This window comes from Homo sapiens, chromosome 15 (genome assembly GCF_000001405.40).
Source record: "Homo sapiens chromosome 15, GRCh38.p14 Primary Assembly".
In the NCBI taxonomy this organism is placed as follows: Eukaryota; Metazoa; Chordata; class Mammalia; order Primates; family Hominidae; genus Homo; species Homo sapiens.
In genome coordinates, this window is record NC_000015.10 from 80,286,220 (window position 1) to 80,306,061 (window position 19,842).

A 19,842-nucleotide genomic window follows, 5' to 3' on the forward strand; every position below is an offset into this window, starting at 1 on the left:
ATATGCTCTCCCCTCTGTCGGAAATCCTTCCAGCCATCCTCTCAGGCCTGCCAAACTCCTACCCTGCCAAGGCCCCAGGCCAGGGAAGTAGTCTAGCCCGGGTCTTCCCATCCTGCAACAGCTCCTTCCTGAGTGACACTTAGTGTCTTGCAGTTGTTTAGTTACAAGCCTGTTCCCTCCATGGACTGTTAGTTCTTCGGTAGCAGGAACTATGCCCTTTTTACTTTTGGGCTCTTAGTACCTGGCATAGGACTTAATACCTAGTGGATGTTTTCTGAATACTTTATTGGCCCCTAGAGTCTCCAGTGTGAGCCATGCTGTCTTGGTTGCACCATCTGGCTTTCACTATTCCTGGAAGTAGGGATGAGATGATCTACTCCCTCTGACACTGGGTCCTGGCCACTGGGCCACTCTCCCTGGTTAGTTCCCCCACTATTCTCTCTCTGGATCTAACGGAGCACCCCTCCCATAGACGTTGGATAATGACCTGAGACCACAGGGATGCCCAATCACCAGAAGCCATTCCCCACAGAGAGTTTGGGAGAAGGGGGACTCATTTACAATTCTCGTGAAGGGCATCAGATGCACTGCTTTTCCGCAGCCCTCATGTCTGCATTTAACCCTCACCCTCACGATCTCTGAGGACACTGTCACCTGTCCATTTATGGAGCCCAAGCAAAATCAGAAAAGGAGAAGAATATTAGAGTATGATGTTGCCCTTCATTTTAAATGCAATTCATTGTTGCTTGTGTGTGGGGACAATCGCCCATCTCCCTGTGGAGGACCAAACAGAGGGTCATCACCCAGTGTGGGACATGCAAATGGTCAGAGCTAGTTAATTGACCTGGTTATGAGTTCAGGAATGAAAGTTTGGGCTTAAGGTGCTGGTGCACAGGTGTGTGTGAAAAGGTGAAGTCAGGGAAAAGAGAAGGCAGGCTGCATAGAAGCCAAGAGGTGGGAGCACCCATATGTCCTAGGGATGAATAGATGGACAAAATGTGGTAGATATTAATAGATACAATAGAATACCATTCAGCCTTAAAAATGACATTATGACATAAGCTACAATGTGGAAGAACCTTGAAGACATTATGTTAAGTGACATACATGAATCACAAAAGGGCAAATACTACATGATTACATCACATGAGGTACCTAGAGTAGTTAAATTCACAGAATGGTGGTTGCGAGGGCATGGGGAAAGAGGGAATGAGGAGCTGTTGTTTAACAGGTACTGAGTTTCAGTTTTACAAGAGAAAAAGTTCTGGAGATTGGCTGTGTGACAGTGGAAATCTACTTAACACTACTGAATGGTATACTTAAACTGGTTAGGGTGGCAAATTTTATGTTACCTTTTTTTAAATAGAAGATAAAACAATCAAGTAGGCTGATTTAGAGAGTGGGGCATGGCATATGACCAAGGAGTAAATATTTGAGATCTAGAAGGAACTTGGGGAATTATGCTGGGTCTTAAGTTTGTCTAAGGATGTGAGAAACTATCATTATTGGAGTAATGGCAACTTCTTAGAGTAGCATGGTGCTGTAATGTTTACAAATGATTTTACTTCTAAGATCTAATTGTAAAATGTACTTACCTCTCTCCACAAAGCATTCAACTCGGCTTACAAATATACCTATAAAATATAAAATGTATAATAAATAAATTTGTGTAAATACAAAATAAAACAGAGCTAAGGAAAAATGGAAATTCAAATAGAAGGATTTTTCTATAGAGGGATTTTCTATTAGAACACATGTGTATTACTTGGAAAATAAGCTCAACTGCATATAACAGACACCCCAAACAACAGAGATGTAAAACAAAGATGCAGAATGACAGAGACTTATTTTGCTCTCCAAAAAGTCTAGGCCATTATGGTGGCTCTGGTCACAAGGCCATTATGCTAACAAGTCTCTTGTCAACACATTCTGTTGATGCTGTCCTGGGACTCTCTTTAACCAGTAAAATCAGGTGACGTTTCTAGACCTAGCCCTTAAGAGGCCTGGCAGCTTTCTCTGTCACTATTCTGGGATCCAGCTCCATATAAATAAGCTCAGACAAGATGATTGAATGATGAGAGACTGCCGAGAGAGAGAGAGAGAGACAGAGAGAGAGAGAGAGAGAGAAAGAGGAGGGCCAGAGAGCTCCGACCTATTCTAGCCACTGCAGCTAAGGCACCAGATTTAGCTACTAGCTAAGTGTAACTGCATGAGTGTCTGCTGTCCATACCACATTCTGCAGAACAGCCTAGCTGAGCCCAGCCAGCCCACTGAACCGTGAGAAATTCTAAATTCTTGTTTTAAGCCACTAAGTTTTAGAGTGGGCTGTCACACAGCAATAGACAGTTGTTAAAGGGAGAACAAATAGTGGGGGACAATTAACACTCTCAGCCATAACATTTCATGAGCTCTTCTGCACTGAATAGCTGCCTGGGGTAGATAGTGCCTATGAGAAGTCACACACTTCAAGCTGATAGTTTACCATGACCCTGAGTCAGCTGCAGGTATGAAGCAGCCATCCTCACACAAAGTCCCCAGTACATCTTTCAGCAAACATGCATTTGAGGACTAGGAATGAGTCTCTGGATGTGTGATGCGAACAGGTGTCTAGTGAGCAGATTCCGACTTGCCTTGATGACTTGCCACTAAAATACTTGCAGACTAAACCAGAGAGATCGAGAACCCAGCACTAACTACCCATTGAGAAAATAAGTCTGAAGGTCAACCTATTTCTAAAATTCTAGAAGGAATCCCAATATTAATAAGTATAATTGGAAGGGGAAAATAAACTTGTTAAAAAAAAAATCCTGGCTGGGCCCGGTGGCTCATGCCTGTAATCTCAGCACTTTGAGAGGCTGAGGTGGGTGGATCACGAGGTCAGGAGATCAAGACTATTCTGGCTAACATGGTGAAACCCCCTTCTCTACTAAAATACAAAAAATTAGATGGATGTGGTGGTGTGCACCTGTAGTCCCAGCTACTCCGGAGGCTGAGGCAGGAGAATCACTTGAACCCGGGAGGCGGAGATTGCAGTGAGCCGAGATCACGCTACTGCACTCCAGCCTGGCGACAGAGCGAGACTCCACCAAAAAGCAAACAAACAAACAAACAACAACAACAACAAAACCCTTAAGCTGCTGGGGACACCTAGAAGGTGTCTAGGGCAGTGGGAAGAGTCTTTGCTGAGGTTGAGAGTTCTTTTATTTAAGTCAAGATCTTGTGGGCTATGTTAGGTTTTGCAAAGCCTGGATGAGCCTGCCCTGTGACAGCAGAAATGAGGAGGACTTTGGAGCTTGTGGGAAAGTCTTTGGGGAGACATGGATTTGAAAAACAGAGGGAAGTGGTGATGTCAAGACAGAGAAAGAGCAAAGTAGACACGGCTCAAATTCTGAATGAGAAATGCCCTGTCAGGAGTCACTGAAGAATCTTAGAGCAAGGATATAATATTCTGTTTGAGTTGTTTACTTTTGCAGGAAGCAATCTTCCCTCCCACACGCCAAGCCTGCAGGGAAAGCCTGCTGAATACAGACTAGGTTCAGGTCGACTATACACTAGGGAGGAGAAGCAGGAGGGGGTGACCTCTCACTGAGACCAGAGCGGCTTGGAGGCAAGAGGAGCTCTGTAGCAGGTAAGAGGCAAATGTCAGGTCAGTTCATAAAGGAGCGGCAGATCCAGTCAAAAAAGTCTCAACCAGCCAAAAAAGAAATAGGCAAGAAAGTGGAGACTTCTGGGTGACCTGAGGCAGATGCAGCTGGACTGAAGAAACGCCCATCCAGGGTTTCCTTCCAGTAAACTGAGAGCTCCGAAAGAGGTGAGCACTTTCCACCTCTCCCTGTCTCTGTGTCATGTGACCAGAGCCTCTGCCCAACCAGCCATACCCTCTGGCAGGCTTTCCTTTGTCCACAGGTGCTGTCAGGGAGGTGGTCTGGGTCCTAGCCTAATTTTTGCCATAATTCTACATCCAGTATCTTCAGAGCACTGAAGGAGGTGCAGGAAGTGCAGAAAATGCAGAAAACAAAGGAAATGCAGTGGGGAGGGGCCTGGCTTCTGCACATTGCATTCACTGCTGTCTCCCCAAGGAAAGCTGTGAGAGCTGGACTGGAGATTGGACGCATCTGGAAGGAAAAGGATTCTTCAGCACAAGGGGGAATAACTCTCAAAACCGACAGGAATGTATGATGGCTCTCTCCTTAAAGCCAGAAACAAAAGAAAGATGACTGTTATCAATACTCTGTTCTTGAAAGTTCTCTATCAATCAGCTAAGAAAGTGAAAGAAGTGTGATCGTGAAGAAGTAGGAAAAAGTACCAAGACTTGCTGACAGGTAATTTAATTGCCTACCTAGAAAATTGAGAGAAGTAGAAAAACTAGAAGAGTTAATATAAAGTGGCTGGTTACAAAGTAAACATTCAAAAATCCATAGTTGTTCTAGGAATAACTAGATAGAAAATGTAATAGACTCTATCAACAGATAGCAATGCAATTTAGAAAATACATAGGAGCAAATTTAACATGAAATTGGCTGGGTATTTTTAACAGTGGTATGTTTTTTTACAGAGGGACATAAAAATCCACTTGAATAATTAAAGAGATATACATAGGCAATGGAACAGTTATTGCCAAGATAATCAATTCTCCCAAAACTAATTTACAAATTGAATGTGATTTTAATGAAAACACAAGATTATTTTTTGAACTTGCGAAATAGACCCTAAGTTCATCTGAAAGAATAAGTGCCCAAAGAGAGCCAAGAAATTTTTGAGGAAACAGAAATAATATCAGTGTGTCTGGAGGTGGTTCCTTCTGGTGGGTTTGTGGTCTTGCTGACTTCAAGAATGAAGCCATGGACCTTTGCGGTGAGTGTTACAGCTCTTAAAGGTGGCACGGACCCAAAGAGTGTGTAGCAGCAAGATTTATTGTGAAAAGCGAAAGAACAAAGCTTCCACAGCATGGAAGGGGACCCGACCAGGTTGCAGCTGTTGGCTGGGGGTGGTCAGCTTTTCTTTCCTTATGTGTCCCTGCCCATGTCCTGCTGATTGGTCCATTTTACAGAGTGCTGATTGGTCCATTTTACAGAGTGCTGATTGGTCCATTTTACAGAGTGCTGATTGGTCCATTTTACAAACCTCTAGCTAGCTATAGAGCACTGATTGGTGCATTTTTACAGAGCACTGATTGGTGCATTTTACAAACCTCTAGTGAGCTACAGAGCGCCAACTGCTGCGTTTTTACAGAGCACTGATTGGTGCATTTTACAAGCCTCTGGTAAGACAGAAAAGTTCTCCAAGTCCCCATTCGACCCAGGAAGTCCAGCTGGCTTCACCTCTCACCAGTACTTGTGTTACAAATACTGATTCAAAGCTACAATAATTTGATTATGGTTCAGGAATAGGCAGATAAACAGAAAAGAAACTAAATATTTTAAAGAAATTAGTATATATTAAAGATGGCATTTCACAGCAGTAAGTAAAATAAGATGAATTTTAAAAAATCAAAAAGAAAACGCTAGAACCTCAGACATATATGTCAATATTAATTCCAGGTGGAGGGAATATTTATATGTTAAAATAAGTAAAAATGTTAAAAAGAAAACCACAGAAGCACTAGGAGGAAACGTTGCTATTTGTATTAGTGACGTGGTCACTGGAGTGCAGTTTCCATGGTTCCTGCTCCGTCTGGTCCAGTATCTAGAGCAGTAACAATACAGTATCTATTTTTCCAAGAATAAATGAATAAACTTCAGTACATATACTTCTAAAGCTTTTTCTGCTTTTGAAACAATTTTGTTACACAAAACATTTTAGTCCCCACTGGAAAAGATATTTGCAGCATATGCAATAAAGAAATAATATCTTTAGTTTATAAAGAACACTTTCAAATCAACAAGGGAATGATAATCCTTCCCCAGTAAAAATGAGCAATTCACAAAGGAAGTATTAAAATGGTCGATAATAGGAGAGTATGCTCAGGCTTCTTGAATATTCAAATTTAAACAACAAAACACCAGTGGGAAGATATTAAGGGCTGGTGAAGTCATGGGAACACAAGGCCTCTTAAACGCTGGGTGGAGATGGGAGACTCATTTTCTGGGAGGTCATCTGGTATTTCGTGAAGTGTCACTGAAATCTGTGTATGTGCACATCATTTGACTCAGCATTTCTTCTTTCGGGAATTTTATCTACCCTCATAGGTGTGCCCAAAGATTTAACTACAAGCATATTCATGGGAATAAGCCACCTAAAAGCCCAGCAATGAAATATTGACTATGTACACGATGGCAGATCCGTTTAAGGAAAGAACATGCCATCATTAAAAATGGTGCTGCAAAAGAAAACTTAATGTTCTAGAAAAAGTGGTCTAGATAAATCTCTAAGTACAACAAGGGGCTCGGTGTACATGTTGAACTTATCCTATTACTATAAAAATTACATATATATATGTAAATATATATATATACTGAAATAGGGTGAATGGTTAGGTGCCTTATCTATGCATAGTGGGATTATAGATGATTTTAAATTTCTTCTTTTTGCTTTTCTGTAAATTTCTAAATTTTCTACAATTTGTGCAATAAGGTGTATGTGATTAGGAAAAAATTATGTGGCCAAAGGAGCTCCCCATGTAAGGAGAAGCAGACCGTGAAGAGACACCACTGACATCTGGGAACAAGGCTGCAGGAGAGGCCAAGTGTCCAGCACCCAGTGGAAGGGCCCAGGCTTCCTAACCCTGGTCTCCCTCAGCAGTGTGTGGGGGGGTCTGGCCTCCATGCCCTCTTTAGCCTGGCTCCCCTACTGGCCCTTGCCCCTGAGGCCTATTCACAAGACATCTTAGGACCTGACCAGGACAGTTTTCCAGAGCTTTCCTAGTTCACCCACACAACATCCTCCTGCCTGAGGACTTCTGGCCACCTGAGACTGTTTTTCTTTTTGAGACGGAGTCTTGCTCTGTTGCCCAAGCTGGAGTGCAGTGTTGTGATCTCGGCTAACTGCAACCTCTGCCTGCTGGGCTCAAGCAATTCTCATGCCTCAGCCTCCCCAGTAGCTAGGATTACAGGCGTGTGCCACCATGCCTGGCTACTTTTTGTATTTTTAGTAGAGATGGGGTTTCACCATGTTGGCCAGGCTGGTCTCGAACTCCTGACCTCAAATGATCCGCCTGCCTCGGCCTCCCAAAGTGCTGGGATTATAGGTGTGAGCCACCGTGCCCGGCCCACCTGAGACTGTTTAACCTTATGCCAAGCTGAAGGTATTCTGTCATTTCCTACTTTTGAAATGAGAAAGGATTTGTCATTTAACAGAAGAATTAAAGAATGTGCCACATGCCATATATTTTCTTCTCATTGCAGATTTAGTTTTGCCTCTTTAAATAATTACTCATTGTAATTTCCAATGGAATCCCCCAAAATGTATTTCTGCCTTTGATAGCATTTGTCTCTAATAAACTTTGTTAATGCTCTTTTCTTTCATTTATCCATTCTTTTTTTAAACAGTGGGGAATGAGATTTCCAGGAATATGATAGAGAACCATGCACCTTGAGTGTTGCAGGAAGGGATCTGAAAGCCGTGTGGTTCAAATTCCATTTTTGGCACTGGACATTGAAGCCCAGACACTGGTGTTAATTTCTTATCGTCCCAGTTGGTGGCTGAATGAGGGTGACCCCAGGCTAGGTTTTGCCTGTGTTTCCTCTGAAGCAGGTGCTGCTTCTCTGCTCCTGTCCCTTTCTACCTCTCCCTTCCTTTTCCACTTTAAGTTGCTCCTTGACTAGAATGTCCCATCAGCTGTCTCCCTGACAGCTCTTCTTTTTTTATTTTTGAGACAGGGTCTCACTCTGTCTCCCAGACGAGTGCAGTGGCACAATCTCGGCTCATCGCAACCTCCGCCTCCCCACAACCTCTGCCTCCCAGGCTCAGGTGATTCTCCTGCCTCAGCCTCCCGAGTAGCTGGGATTACAGGCGTGTGCCATTATGCCCGGCTAATTTTTGCATTTTTAGTAGAGACGGGGTTTCACATGTTGGCCAGGCTGGTCTCAAACTCCTGACCTCAAAATGATCCACCTGCCTCAGCCTCCCAAAGTGCTGGGATTACAGGTGTGAGCCACCACGCCCGGCCCCTGACAGGTCTTCTAAACAGCCAGTATCCCAGGTACTTTATCTTTTCTCCTCCTTCCTCCTTCTTTTCCCTAACAAGAAACTAGATAAAAATGATCACTGGTGCTGAGCTTTAAAGGACTTTGAATCACAGCATGTAAGTTCACATTATCAGTCCAGCATCACATGTTCCAGCCCCTTCAAATACGTGTGTATACAGGGAAGAAGTGACTTGTTTAAAGCATCAGGGCTGGATCTGATCTCACATCTTGTTTTTAGTTAGGGTTCTTCAGAGAGACAGAGTGAACAACATATATATGTATGTGTGTTACGGGATCTCTGAGGTGTTGATTTTTCTGGCCAGAAACCTCTGTGGCGGATGCCTTTGGCTGTGGCGCCTTTACCCGAGTTCTTTGTCCAAGTTCTTGTCCTGTGTGCAGGAGGCACACAGACAAGTGAAGGGCAAAGAAGAAGAGTTTTATTTAGTGTTAGAACAGCTCAGAGGAGTGTGCAGCTCCTCTCTGTAGGGAGGTCATCCTGTCGAGTGTTCAGCCCTCAGCAGAGAGGAGGCCCCAGAGAGGGTGGCTCCTCTCCGCAGGCAAGCCATTCAGTCTTCTCTGCAGGTCTCTGAAGCTCTCAGTGGAGAGGGTACTCCTCTCTGCTGCTGGGTGTTCCCATCACCTCCAGCTATCAGAAGAGAGGGTACTCCTCTCTGCAGCTGGTCATCCTATTGTCTTTCTGCCTTCTTCATCCTCTGGCTGTCTTCTGCCATGCTCTGGCTGAGCCCAGGGTTTTATGGACCTCAGAGGGGAAGAAATGTGTGCTGATTGGTCCATGGGCAGCCATGGGTAGCCCAGAAGAGGCACCATGAGTCCCCACTCTAGTCCGGGGACTGGCAGCCCATCCCCTAGCCTTCAGTCCCTCCTTGGTCTGAAGGTGGGGCCTTACTGAGGACCCACCCCCTTCAGCCAAAGACTCTGCCTCCTGCTATTCAAAGCCCTGGGGCTAGGCCCCAACCCTGCTACCAGATTGGAGCGGGTGCATGTAGAGAGAGACCAGGCAGCCTAACAGACATCCTGGAGCTAGGAAAGAAGGGGTAGGAGGGAGGCGGGGGGCCCTTCCTGGCCAGAAGATGTAGGCAGAGATGCTTAGGTCCTGTGCCTGGGAGAGCAGCTGCAGCTACACTCGGGGAGCTCTGGCCCCTGCAACTCAGAAGGGGCAGGGTTCCTGTTTGTCCTAGCTCCTGCCTGCTCCGTGGAGCAAAAGGCCCAGGTCTGCAGCCACGGATCAGGCGGTTGCAGCTGCACCGAGGAGGGCAGATCCTGTCTGCTTCTGCCCCTCTCCAAGTGTGTCCGGAGTTGGTTCTTTCCTGTGGGTTCATGGTCTTGCTGACTTCAAGAATGTAGTCTCGGACCTTAGCGGTGAATATTACAGCTCTCAAAAGGGGCACGGATCCAAAGAGTGACCAGCAGCAAGTTATTGTGAAGAGAAAAAAGAACAAAAGAACAAAGCTCCCACAATATGGAAGTGGATCCAAAAGGGTTGCCGCTGCCGGCTCGCGTGGCCAGCCTTTATTCCTTTATTTCTCCCTGCCCATGTCCTGCTGATTGGTCTATTTTACACAGTGCTGATTGGTCCATTTTATAAACCTCTAGCTAGCTACAAAGTGCTGATTGGTGCATTTTACAATCCTAGCTACAGAGTGCTGATTGGTGCATTTTACAATCCTAGCTACAGAGTGCTGATTGGTGCATTTTACAATCCTAGCTGCAGAGTGCTGATTGGTGCATTTTACAATCCTCTTGTAAGACAGAAAAGTTCTCCAAGTCCTCATTCCACCTGGGAAGTCCAACTGGCTTCACCTCTCACAAGAGCACAGGGAGGCTGGGACCCACAGCCACAGTTTGGGCGGCCATAGCCCCACCCAGGAGAGCGGGGCACCAGCTCCATGGAGTGTGCAGCCCCAGTTGCCCCTCCCTGCTGCAGTTGGCGTGATGGCAGCAGCCACTGATGTCATACGGAGAGAGAGGAGAGAGGGAGAGGGATAGTGAGAGAGAGAGACGGAGAGAGGGGGAGAGGGAGAGAGGGAGGAGAAAGGATTTAATAGAGGAATTGGCTCACTCAATTATGGAGGCTGAGAAGTCCACACAAGTGGACTTGTGTGATTGGCGAGTTGGAGAACCAGGGAAGCTGGTAGCATGGCTCAGGTCAAGTCTGAAGGCCTTGAACCAGGGAAACGGATGGTGTGTAACTGTCAGACTGAGGCAGAAGGCCTGAGAGCCTAGAGGGCTGCTGACACGACTTCCAGAGTGCAAAAACCAGAAAAGCTGGAGTTCTGATGTCCAAGGGCAGGAGAGGAAGGGCGTCACAGCTCCCCTTCCTCCGCCTTTTTGTTTCATCTGGGCCCCTAGCTGACTGGATGATGGCTGCCCACATTGAGGGTGGATCTTCCTCACTCAGTCCGCCAACTCACTTGCCAGTCTCCTCTGCAAATACACTCAAAGACACACTGGGGCAGCCCAGTTATTTTAATCAAATGCCAAACCACCTGTGTTTCCTTTCAGCAGAAGAGGAATGGGCTCAGTACCTACTGAAGTATTGAGAATAAATAATGCTTTACCAACTATCTGGGTATCCTTTAATCCAGTCAAGTTGACACCCAAATCAACCATCACACCTCCTATTTCACTGATCTTTCATTTTATTTTTCTCTATTAATGGCACTATCCTGTAATTTATAAAAACAAAAGAAAAATACTGCTTCTATGTCTCTTAAATGATTATTCATTGTAATTCTCATTGGAGTTATATATTGTGGAAAGTATTTGAATGTGTGCCAGACCAAAAAAGGTATTTCTTTGCATTCTTGCTGAATCCTTTTAATGTGCTATAAACTTGATCTAATTCCAGTGTGTTATTTGACAGTCTCAATGTTTTCTAAAGTCCCTATAACTCATGATAGGATTCTCATGGCTGCCATCTTCATAATTTTACCTGTCATCATTCTTTCATGTTCTGTGTAAAACAAGTCCAAGAAGTCCAAGAATTTGGATAGGGAATATATAAGTTTTGTATCTGCATTAAAGCATATGGCTCTCCATCCCTCTAGTGACTTTCAATTATTCATTCAACAAATATTGATTAGGTTCCAGAAAATATAACAGAGGACTTGGTGAGTGGTTTGATGTGTGGTGTGGGATATGCCAAGAGTGAATGCTGGATCTCTGAAGCTTTTGGTGGTGTGAAATACTGACACTGGGAAGACAGGTGATGGAGCAGGTGGAGGTGTGGGGGATTTCAAGTTCAAGTTTAGTTGTGCTAAGCTTGAGGCACTTAGGGTATCTTCAGGGAGACACGTCAGATTGACAATTGCATAAGTAAGTTAGGAATTCAGAAAAGGGGAAATTTGGGGGTCACTAGCACATAGATGGCAGTGGAGGATGAGAAAAGAGGGGAAGGGGAAGAGGGGTGGGAGGGAAGACAGAGAGAGGGAGGAGATATTCAGAGGAACTCTAGCCTTTAATGCCTCATCAGAAGGAACCATAAAAGAGTGTGCAGAAGGAATAGGAGAGAAACCAGCAGCGCCTGAAGGCAGAGAGACCAAGAGAGGAGGGGGATTCAATGTGAGGTCGAGGTTGCTCAAGACTTAGCATGCATAGTTAATAAACATTAGAGGTAAACAGCTCCAGAGGAGTAATGGGGGTAGAAACCACGAGTCAAGTCTGGTGGGCTGTCTGTATTTGAAAATAAAGTTTCATGGGGACACAACCACACGCATTCATTTCTGTGTTGTTTATGGCTCTGCTGTGATGCAACAGCAGAACTGAGTAGACTACAGCCACAGAGACTGCATGGCCCACAAAACCTCAGCTATTGGCTATCTGGCCTTTATAGGAAGAGTTTCCCACACCTGAGCTAGTGGTTTGAGAAGTGAATGAATGGAAAGGGAGAAAGGGAGGCAGACTGTGAATGACAATCTTTTTTTTTTTTTTTTTTTTGAGATGGAGTCTTGCTCTGTCACCCAGGCTGGAGTGCAGTGGTGTGATCTCAGCTCACTGCAACCTCTACCTCCCAAGTTCAAGTGATCCTCCTGCCTCAGCCTCCCAAGTAGCCGGGATTACAGGAGCGCCCCAGCACACCCAGCTAATTTTTGCATTTTCAGTAGGGATGGGGTTTCTCCATGTTGGCCAGGTTGGTCTCGAGCTCCTGACCTCAAGGGATCTGCCCACATTGGCTTCCCAAATTGCTGGGATTGCAGGTTTAAGCCAATTGACAATTTTTTAAAGAGATTCAAGAAGGAGAAGAGAGAAATTGGATAGTAGTCCTAGAGGAATGACAGGAGATCAGTAAGAGGATTTTGTTGTTTTCTCTTTGCTTTTTAGATGGGAAGAATTTAAACATACATAGTTGTTAATCGAATGAGGCTAGAAGAGAGGGAGATATTGAAGCCACATAGGAGGGTAAAGAAACTCGGTGGATGGTTTCCTGAGAAGGAAGAATGGGAGAAGGTCCCATGCAAGGTGGAAGGGAGTGGATGGAAGAGGAATGTCCCCCATGCAACAGTGGGAAGTGGGGACAAGGTAGGTGCCAAGGCTGGGATGTTTAAAGATTTAGGAGCAAGATGTTGAGAAAATTTCTTTTGGGATTGTTCCATTTTCTCTGTAAAGTAGGAGATGAGAGAGATGAGATCACGTGTTAAGAATGAAGAGGTAGGAGGGGGCGAGGAGAGTTGAGCCCTTGTCCTTACTTCATCATCTCCACCAAGGTCACCTCTGTTGACGTCAGTTAATGACCTACGGCTCCTGGTGAGAAGTGGCCCTTATCAGGAAAGGCAGAGGTGACCTTTGGGTTTGCCTGGAGTTCACCCATCCAGCAAATGGCAAAAGTGACACTCAAATCCAGCACTGGGGAACAGACCTGTGCTCATAACATCTACGCCAAACTGCCTTGGTTGGTTATAAATTGCAGTGTATTATTTATTTCTCCTAATTTTTTTTAATCTCATAACATCCTCCCAGAAATTGTGGGTTTCTAATTTTGTTAGATTCCGGAAAGGAAAGCGTGTGATTCTTCACAGTGTCCTCCATGAGGGTCTGCCTCTTTTCTGATAACTTAGCCTGTTTTCATCTCTGTGCTCCCACTACCTCCCTCGCCCAGCCTTTTGGTAACAATACTCTTTACAAATATATATATATTTTTCTTAATGTGATCACTTTCTGTAATGCTTTTTTAGTAACAACCCCATTGAGATTTCATATACCATATAATACCATACAATACACCCTTTTAAAGTGTTCAATTCAATGGTTTTTAGTAGAGGCACAGTTATGCAATCATCACTACAATCAATTTTTATCACTCCCCTCTCAAACCCACCCACTTGTAGTCACTCCCCATTTTCCCCTCAAATCTTCAAGTCCTAGACAATAAGTTAACTGTGTTCTATTTCCGTAGATTTGCTTAATCTAGACATTTCACAGAAGAGAAATCATACAATATGCGGTCTTTTGTGACTGCCTTCTTTCACTTAGGATAATGTTTTCACGATATATTCATGTTGTACCTTGGTGTATCTTGGTGTGTGTTAGTACTTCATTCCTTTTTGGTGCTAAGTAATATTCCACTGTAGTAATATACCACATTATGTTTATTCATTCATTAGTTGATAGACATTTTTTTCCCCATTTATTGGCTATTATGGAACAATACTGCTATAAACACCTGCGCCATTTTACATTCCTACTAACAATATATGAGGGTTCCAATTTCTCCACATCCTTGCCAAAACCTGTTATCATCTGTCTTTTTTATTATGATCATCCTAAAGAGTGTGAAGTGGCTAATGTTATGACATCTTTTCATGTGCTTATTGGCCATTCATATATATTTTTGAAGGACTGTCTATCAAACTCTTTGCCCATTATTTAATGGGGTTGTCTTTTGCTATTGAGTATTAAGAGTTTTTTATATGCTCTAGATATAAGTCCCTTATTAGATAAATGGTTTGCAAATATGTTATCCTATTCAGTGGATTGCCTTTTCACTTTGTGGATGGTGTCCTTTCAAACATAAAGTTTTTAAATTTTATGAAGTCTGATTTATCTGTTTTTTTCTTTTGTTGCCTGTTATTTTAGTGCCACATCTAAGAAATCACTTCTAATCCAAGTCACAAAGGTTAATGCATATGTTATCTTGTAAAAGTGTTGTAGGTGAGCTCCTATGTTTAGGCCTTCAATTCATTTTGAGTTATTTTTTGTACATGATGTAAGGTAGGGGGTCCAACTTCATTCTTTTGTAGTTTTTTTATGTCTAGAATTTTAAAAAATATTTTAACTTTTATTTTAGGTTCAGGGGTACACGTGTAGTTCTGTTACATGGGTAAACTCATGACTCAGGGGTTCGTTGTACAGATTATTTCATCACTCAGGTAGTAAGCATAGTGCTGGACACTTTTCTTTTTTCTGAACCTCTTCCTCCTCCTAATCTCCTCCCTTAATTAGGCCCCATTGTCTGTGGTTCTGCTCTTTCTGTCCATGTATTCTCATTAGTTATCTCCCACTTATAAGTGAGAACATGCGGGATTTGGTTTTCTGTTCTTGGGTTAGTTTGCTACTCATAATGGCCTCCAGTTCCCTCCATGTTCCTGCAAAGGACATGATCTTTGCTCTTTTTTATGCTGCATAGTATTCCATGGTGTATATGTGTCACATTTTCTTTATCCACTCTCTCATTGATGTATATTTAATGTTAATTTTTATATATGGTGTAAGGAAGGGGTCTAGTTTCAATCTTCTACACACGGCTAGACAATCATCCCAGCACCATTTATCGAATAGGGAGTCTTTTAACCATTGCTTGTTTTTGTCAGTTTTGTCAAAGATCGGGTGGTTGTAGGTGTGTGGCTTTATTTCTGGGCTCTCTATTCTGTTTCACTGGTCTATGTGTCCGTTTTTGTACCAGTACTTTGCTTGTAGTACAGTTTGTAGCCTTGTGGTACAGTTTGAAGTCAGGCAATATGATTCCTCCAGTTTGTTCTTTTTGCTTAGGATTGCCTTGGCTATTTGGGCTCTTTTTTTTTGTTTCATATAAATTTTACAATAGTTTTGTATTAGTTCTGTGAAGAATGTCATTGGTAATTTGATAGGAATCGCATTGAATCTGCAAATTGCTATGGACAGTATGGCCATTTTAATGATATTGATTCTTCCTATGAGCATGAAATGTTTTTCCACTTGTGTCATCTCTGCTTTGAGCAGTGTTTTGTACTTTTCATTGTAGAGATCTTTCACCTCCCTGGCTAGCAGTATTCTTGGGTGTTTTATTCCTGGGTATTCCTTATTCTGGCAGTTATGAATGGGACTGTGTTCCTGATTTGCCTCTCAGCTTGGGTGCTGTTAGTGTTCAGGAATGCAGTGTACAGGAATGCTATTGATTTTTGTGCCTTGATTTTATATCCTGAAACTTTGTTGAAGTTGCTTATCAGCTTCAAGGAGCTTTTGGGCAGATACTATGGGGTTTTGTAGATATGGAATCATGTCGTCTATAAACAGAGACATTTTGACTTCCTCTCTTCCTATTTGGATGCCGTTTAATTATTTCTCTTGCCTGATTGCTCTGGCCAGGTCTTCCAATACTATGTTGAATAGGGGTGGTGAGAATGGGCATCCTTGTCTTGTTCTAATTTTAAAGGAAAATGCTTATAGCTTTTGACTGTTCAGTATGATGTTGGCTGTGGGTTTGTCATAGACAGCTCTTATTATTTTGAAGTATGTTCCTTCAATGCCTAGTTTATTGAGGATTTTTAACATAAAAGGAAATTAAATTTTATTGAAAGTATTTTTTTACATCTATTGAGATAGTCATGTGTTTTTTTCTTTAGTTCTGTTTATGTGATGAATAATATTTATTTATTTATTTGCATATATTGAGCCAACCTTGCATCCCAGGGGTGAAGCCTACTTGATCATGATGGATTAGCTTTTTGATGTCCCACTGAATTTTGTTTGCTAGTATTTTGTTGAGGATTTCTGCATCTATGTTATTCAAGGATATTGGCCTGAAGTTTTCTTTTATTGTTGTGTCTCTGCCAGGTTTTGGTATCAGGATGATGCTGGCCTCATAGAATGAGTTGGGTGATGAGTCCCTGCTCCTCAATTTTTTGGAACAGCTTCACTAGGAATGGTATCAACTCCTCTTTGTACATCTGGCAGAATTTGGCTGTGAATCCATCTAGTCCTGGGTTTTTTGCTTGGTAGGCTATTTATTACTGATTCCATTTCAGAGCTCATCATTGGCCTGTTCAGGGATTCAGTTTCTTCCTGGTTCAGTCTTGGGAGGATGTACATGTCCAGGAATTTATCTATTTCTTCTAGATTTTCTAGTTTGTGTGCATAGAGCTGTTCAGTTATTTGTATTTATGTGGGGTCAGTGGTAACATCCTCTTCATCATTCTAATTGTGTTTATTTATATCTTCTCTCTTTTCTTCTTTACTAGTCTAGCTAGTAGTCTATATATCTTATCAATTTTTTCAAAAAAGCAACTCCTGGATTCATTGATCTTTTTTATGTTTTTTTGTGTGTGTGTGTCTCTATCTCCTTCACTTCAGCTCTGATTTGGTTATTTCTTGTCTTCTGCCGACTTCATTCTTTCCAATGTGAATATACAGTTGCCTCAATGCTGCTTGCTGAAAGACTATCCTTTCTCCATTAAATTGTCTCGTCCAAAATTAATTGACCATAAATGTAAGGGTTTATTAATGGACTTCTTTCACTTAACATAATATAAATGCTAAGTGAATAGATCAATTATATTCCATTGATCTATATGCCTGTTCTTATGCCAGTACCACACTATCTTCATTACTATAGTTTTGTAGTAAGTTTTGAAATCAGGAAGTCTGAGTCTTCCAACTTTATTCTTCTTTTTCAAGACTGTTTTGCCTATTCTGGATCCCTCGTGATTCCATATGAATTTTAAGATCAGCTTGTTAATTTCTGCAGATAAGCTAGCTAGCATTTTGGGAGGGATTTTTTTGAAACTGTGGATGAATTTGGGGTGTACTGCCATCTTAACAATATTAAGCCTTCCAATCATGAACACGAATTGCATTTTCATTTATGCCTGCCTTCTTTAATTTATTTCAACAATGTTTCATAGTTTTTAGAGTATGTTTTACACTTCTTTTGTCAAATTTATTCCAAGTATTTTATTCTTTTTAATGTTATTGTCAATGAAATTGTTTTCTTAATTTCATTTTCAGAGTGTTCATTCCAAGTGTATAGAAATGCAACTAAATTTTGTATATTGATATTGCACTGCGTAACTCTGCTGAACTTGTGTACTACTTCTTATAATGCTTTTTAAAATTATATTTCCTGGTCTACTTCATGTACTGTTATAAAAGCCTCTCTTCTATTCTTCTACTATTTCTCTAAGACATGTGTTAGGTTGCAGCCAAATTCACCTCTTCTTTAAAAGAAGACAAAGTCAAATAAGCAGGCCAAATATTTCATTTCCTCTTGCAAATGAAACTAAAGGGGACTAAAGTATTGAGATCTTCATAGAGATAGAAATAGCTCAAATTGCAGTTACTTCTGGTACAGTAAGGATTGTGGTTGCTTTAAAAATCCCTAAAATCAAACTTATTTTTAATCAATGATGTTTCAAGGAAATACAGAAATAAGAGCTTCAGTGCTTTTTATGCTAATGAAAATGTTTATTTCCCTGAAAAACATGCAGTTACAACAAAATAGTGGATACTATTGGAAATTGTTGCTTATTTTCATCCAAGATGATTTTTTTTTCTACTTTCAGTGCCTGACCTAATGGTGATACTTTCCAAGATTCTTTTTTTTTCTTTTTTTTAAATTATACTTTAAGTTTTAGGGTACATGTGCACAACGTGCAGGTTTGTTACATATGTATACATGTGCCATGTTGGTGTGCTGCACCCATTAACTCGTCATTTAGCATTAGGTGTATCTCCTAAATCCTAATGCTATCCCTCCCCCCTCCCCCTACCCCACAACAGGCCCGGGTGTGTGATGTTCCCCTTCCTGTGTCCATGTGTTCTCATTGTTCAATTCCCACCTATGAGTGAGAACATGCGGTGTTTGGTTTTTCGTCCTTGCGATAGTTTGCTGAGAATGATGGTTTCCAGCTTCATCCGTGTCCCTACAAAGGACATGAACTCATCATTTTTTATGGCTGCATAGTATTTCATGGTGTATATGTGCCACATTTTCTTAATCCAGTCTATCATTGTTAGACATTTGTGTTGGTTCCGAGTCTTTGCTATTGTGAATAGTGCCGCAATAATCATACATGTGCATGTGTCTTTATAGCAGCATGATTTATAATCCTTTGGGTATATACCCAGTAATGGGATGGCTGGGTCAAATGGTATTTCTAGATCTAGATCCCTGAGGAATCGCCATGCTGACTTCCACAATGGTTGAACTAGTTTACACTCCCACCAACAGTGTAAAAGTGTTCCTATCTCTCCACATCCTCTCCAGCACCTGTTGTTTCCTGACTTTTTAATTATCGCCATTCTGACGTGTGAGATGGTATCTCATTGTGGTTTTGATTTGCATTTCTCTGATGGCCCGTGATGATGAGCATTTTTTCATGTGTCTGTTGGCTGCATAAATGTCTTCTTTTGAGAAGTGTCTGCTCATATCCTTCGCCCACTTTTTGATGGGGTTGTTTGTTTTTTTCTTGTGAATTTGTTTGAGTTCATTGTAGATTCTGGATATTAGCCCTCTGTCAGATGAGTAGATTGCAAAAATTTTCTCCCATTCTGTAGGTTGCCTGTTCACTCTGCTGGTAGTTTCTTTTGCTGTGCAGAAGCTCTTTAGTTTAATTAGATCCCATTTGTCAATTTTGGCTTTTGTTGCCATTGCTTTTGGTGTTTTAGTCATGAAGTCCTTGCCCAGGCCTATGTCCTGAATGGCATTGCCTAGGTTTTCTTCTAGGGTTTTTATGGTTTTAGGTCTAACGTTTAAGTCTTTCATCCATCTTGAATTAATTTTTGTATAAGGTGTAAGGTAGGGATCCAGTTTCAGCTTTCTACAGATGGCTAGCCAGTTTTCCCAGCACCATTTATTAAATAGGGAATCCGTTCCCCATTGCTTGTTTTTGTCAGGTTTGTCAAAGATCAGATAGTTGTAGATATGCAGTATTATTTCTGAGGGCTCTGTTCTGTTCCATTGGTCTATATCTCTGTTTTGGTACCAGTACCATGCTGTTTTGGTTACTGTAGCCTTGTAGTATAGTTTGAAGTCAGGTAGCATGATGCCTCCAGCTTTGTTCTTTTGGCTTAGGATTGACTTGGCAATGTGGGCTCTTTTTTGGTTCCATATGAACTTTAAAGTAGTTTTTTCCAATTCTGTGAAGAAAGTCATTGGTAGCTTGATGGGGATAACATTGAATCTATAAATTACCTTGGGCAGTATGGCCATTTTCACGATATTGATTCTTCCTACCCATGAGCATGGAATGTTCTTCCATTTGTTTGTATCCTCTTTTATTTCATTGAGCAGTGGTTTGTAGTTCTCCTTGAAGAGGTCCTTCACATCCCTTGTAAGTTGGATTCCTAGGTATTTTATTCTCTTTGAAGCAATTGTGAATGGGATTTCACTCATGATTTGGCTGTTTGTCTGTTATTGGTGTATAAGAATGCTTGTGATTTTTGCTCATTGATTTTGTATCCTGAGACTTTGCTGAAGTTGCTTATCAGCTTAAGGAGTTTTTGG

At 42.0% G+C, this 19,842-nt stretch overlaps 1 long non-coding RNA gene across 1 annotated transcript in view; it reads right to left on the reverse strand.

Moving 5' to 3' along the window:
- The window catches only part of LINC00927 (long intergenic non-protein coding RNA 927), a 78,738-nt gene that overhangs the window by 23,152 nt on the left and 35,744 nt on the right, over positions 1–19,842 (reverse strand). The window contains exon 2 of the long non-coding RNA NR_033833.1: positions 1,596–1,634. This is a non-coding gene — a long non-coding RNA (long intergenic non-protein coding RNA 927). The remainder of the gene's footprint in view (positions 1–1,595; positions 1,635–19,842) is intronic.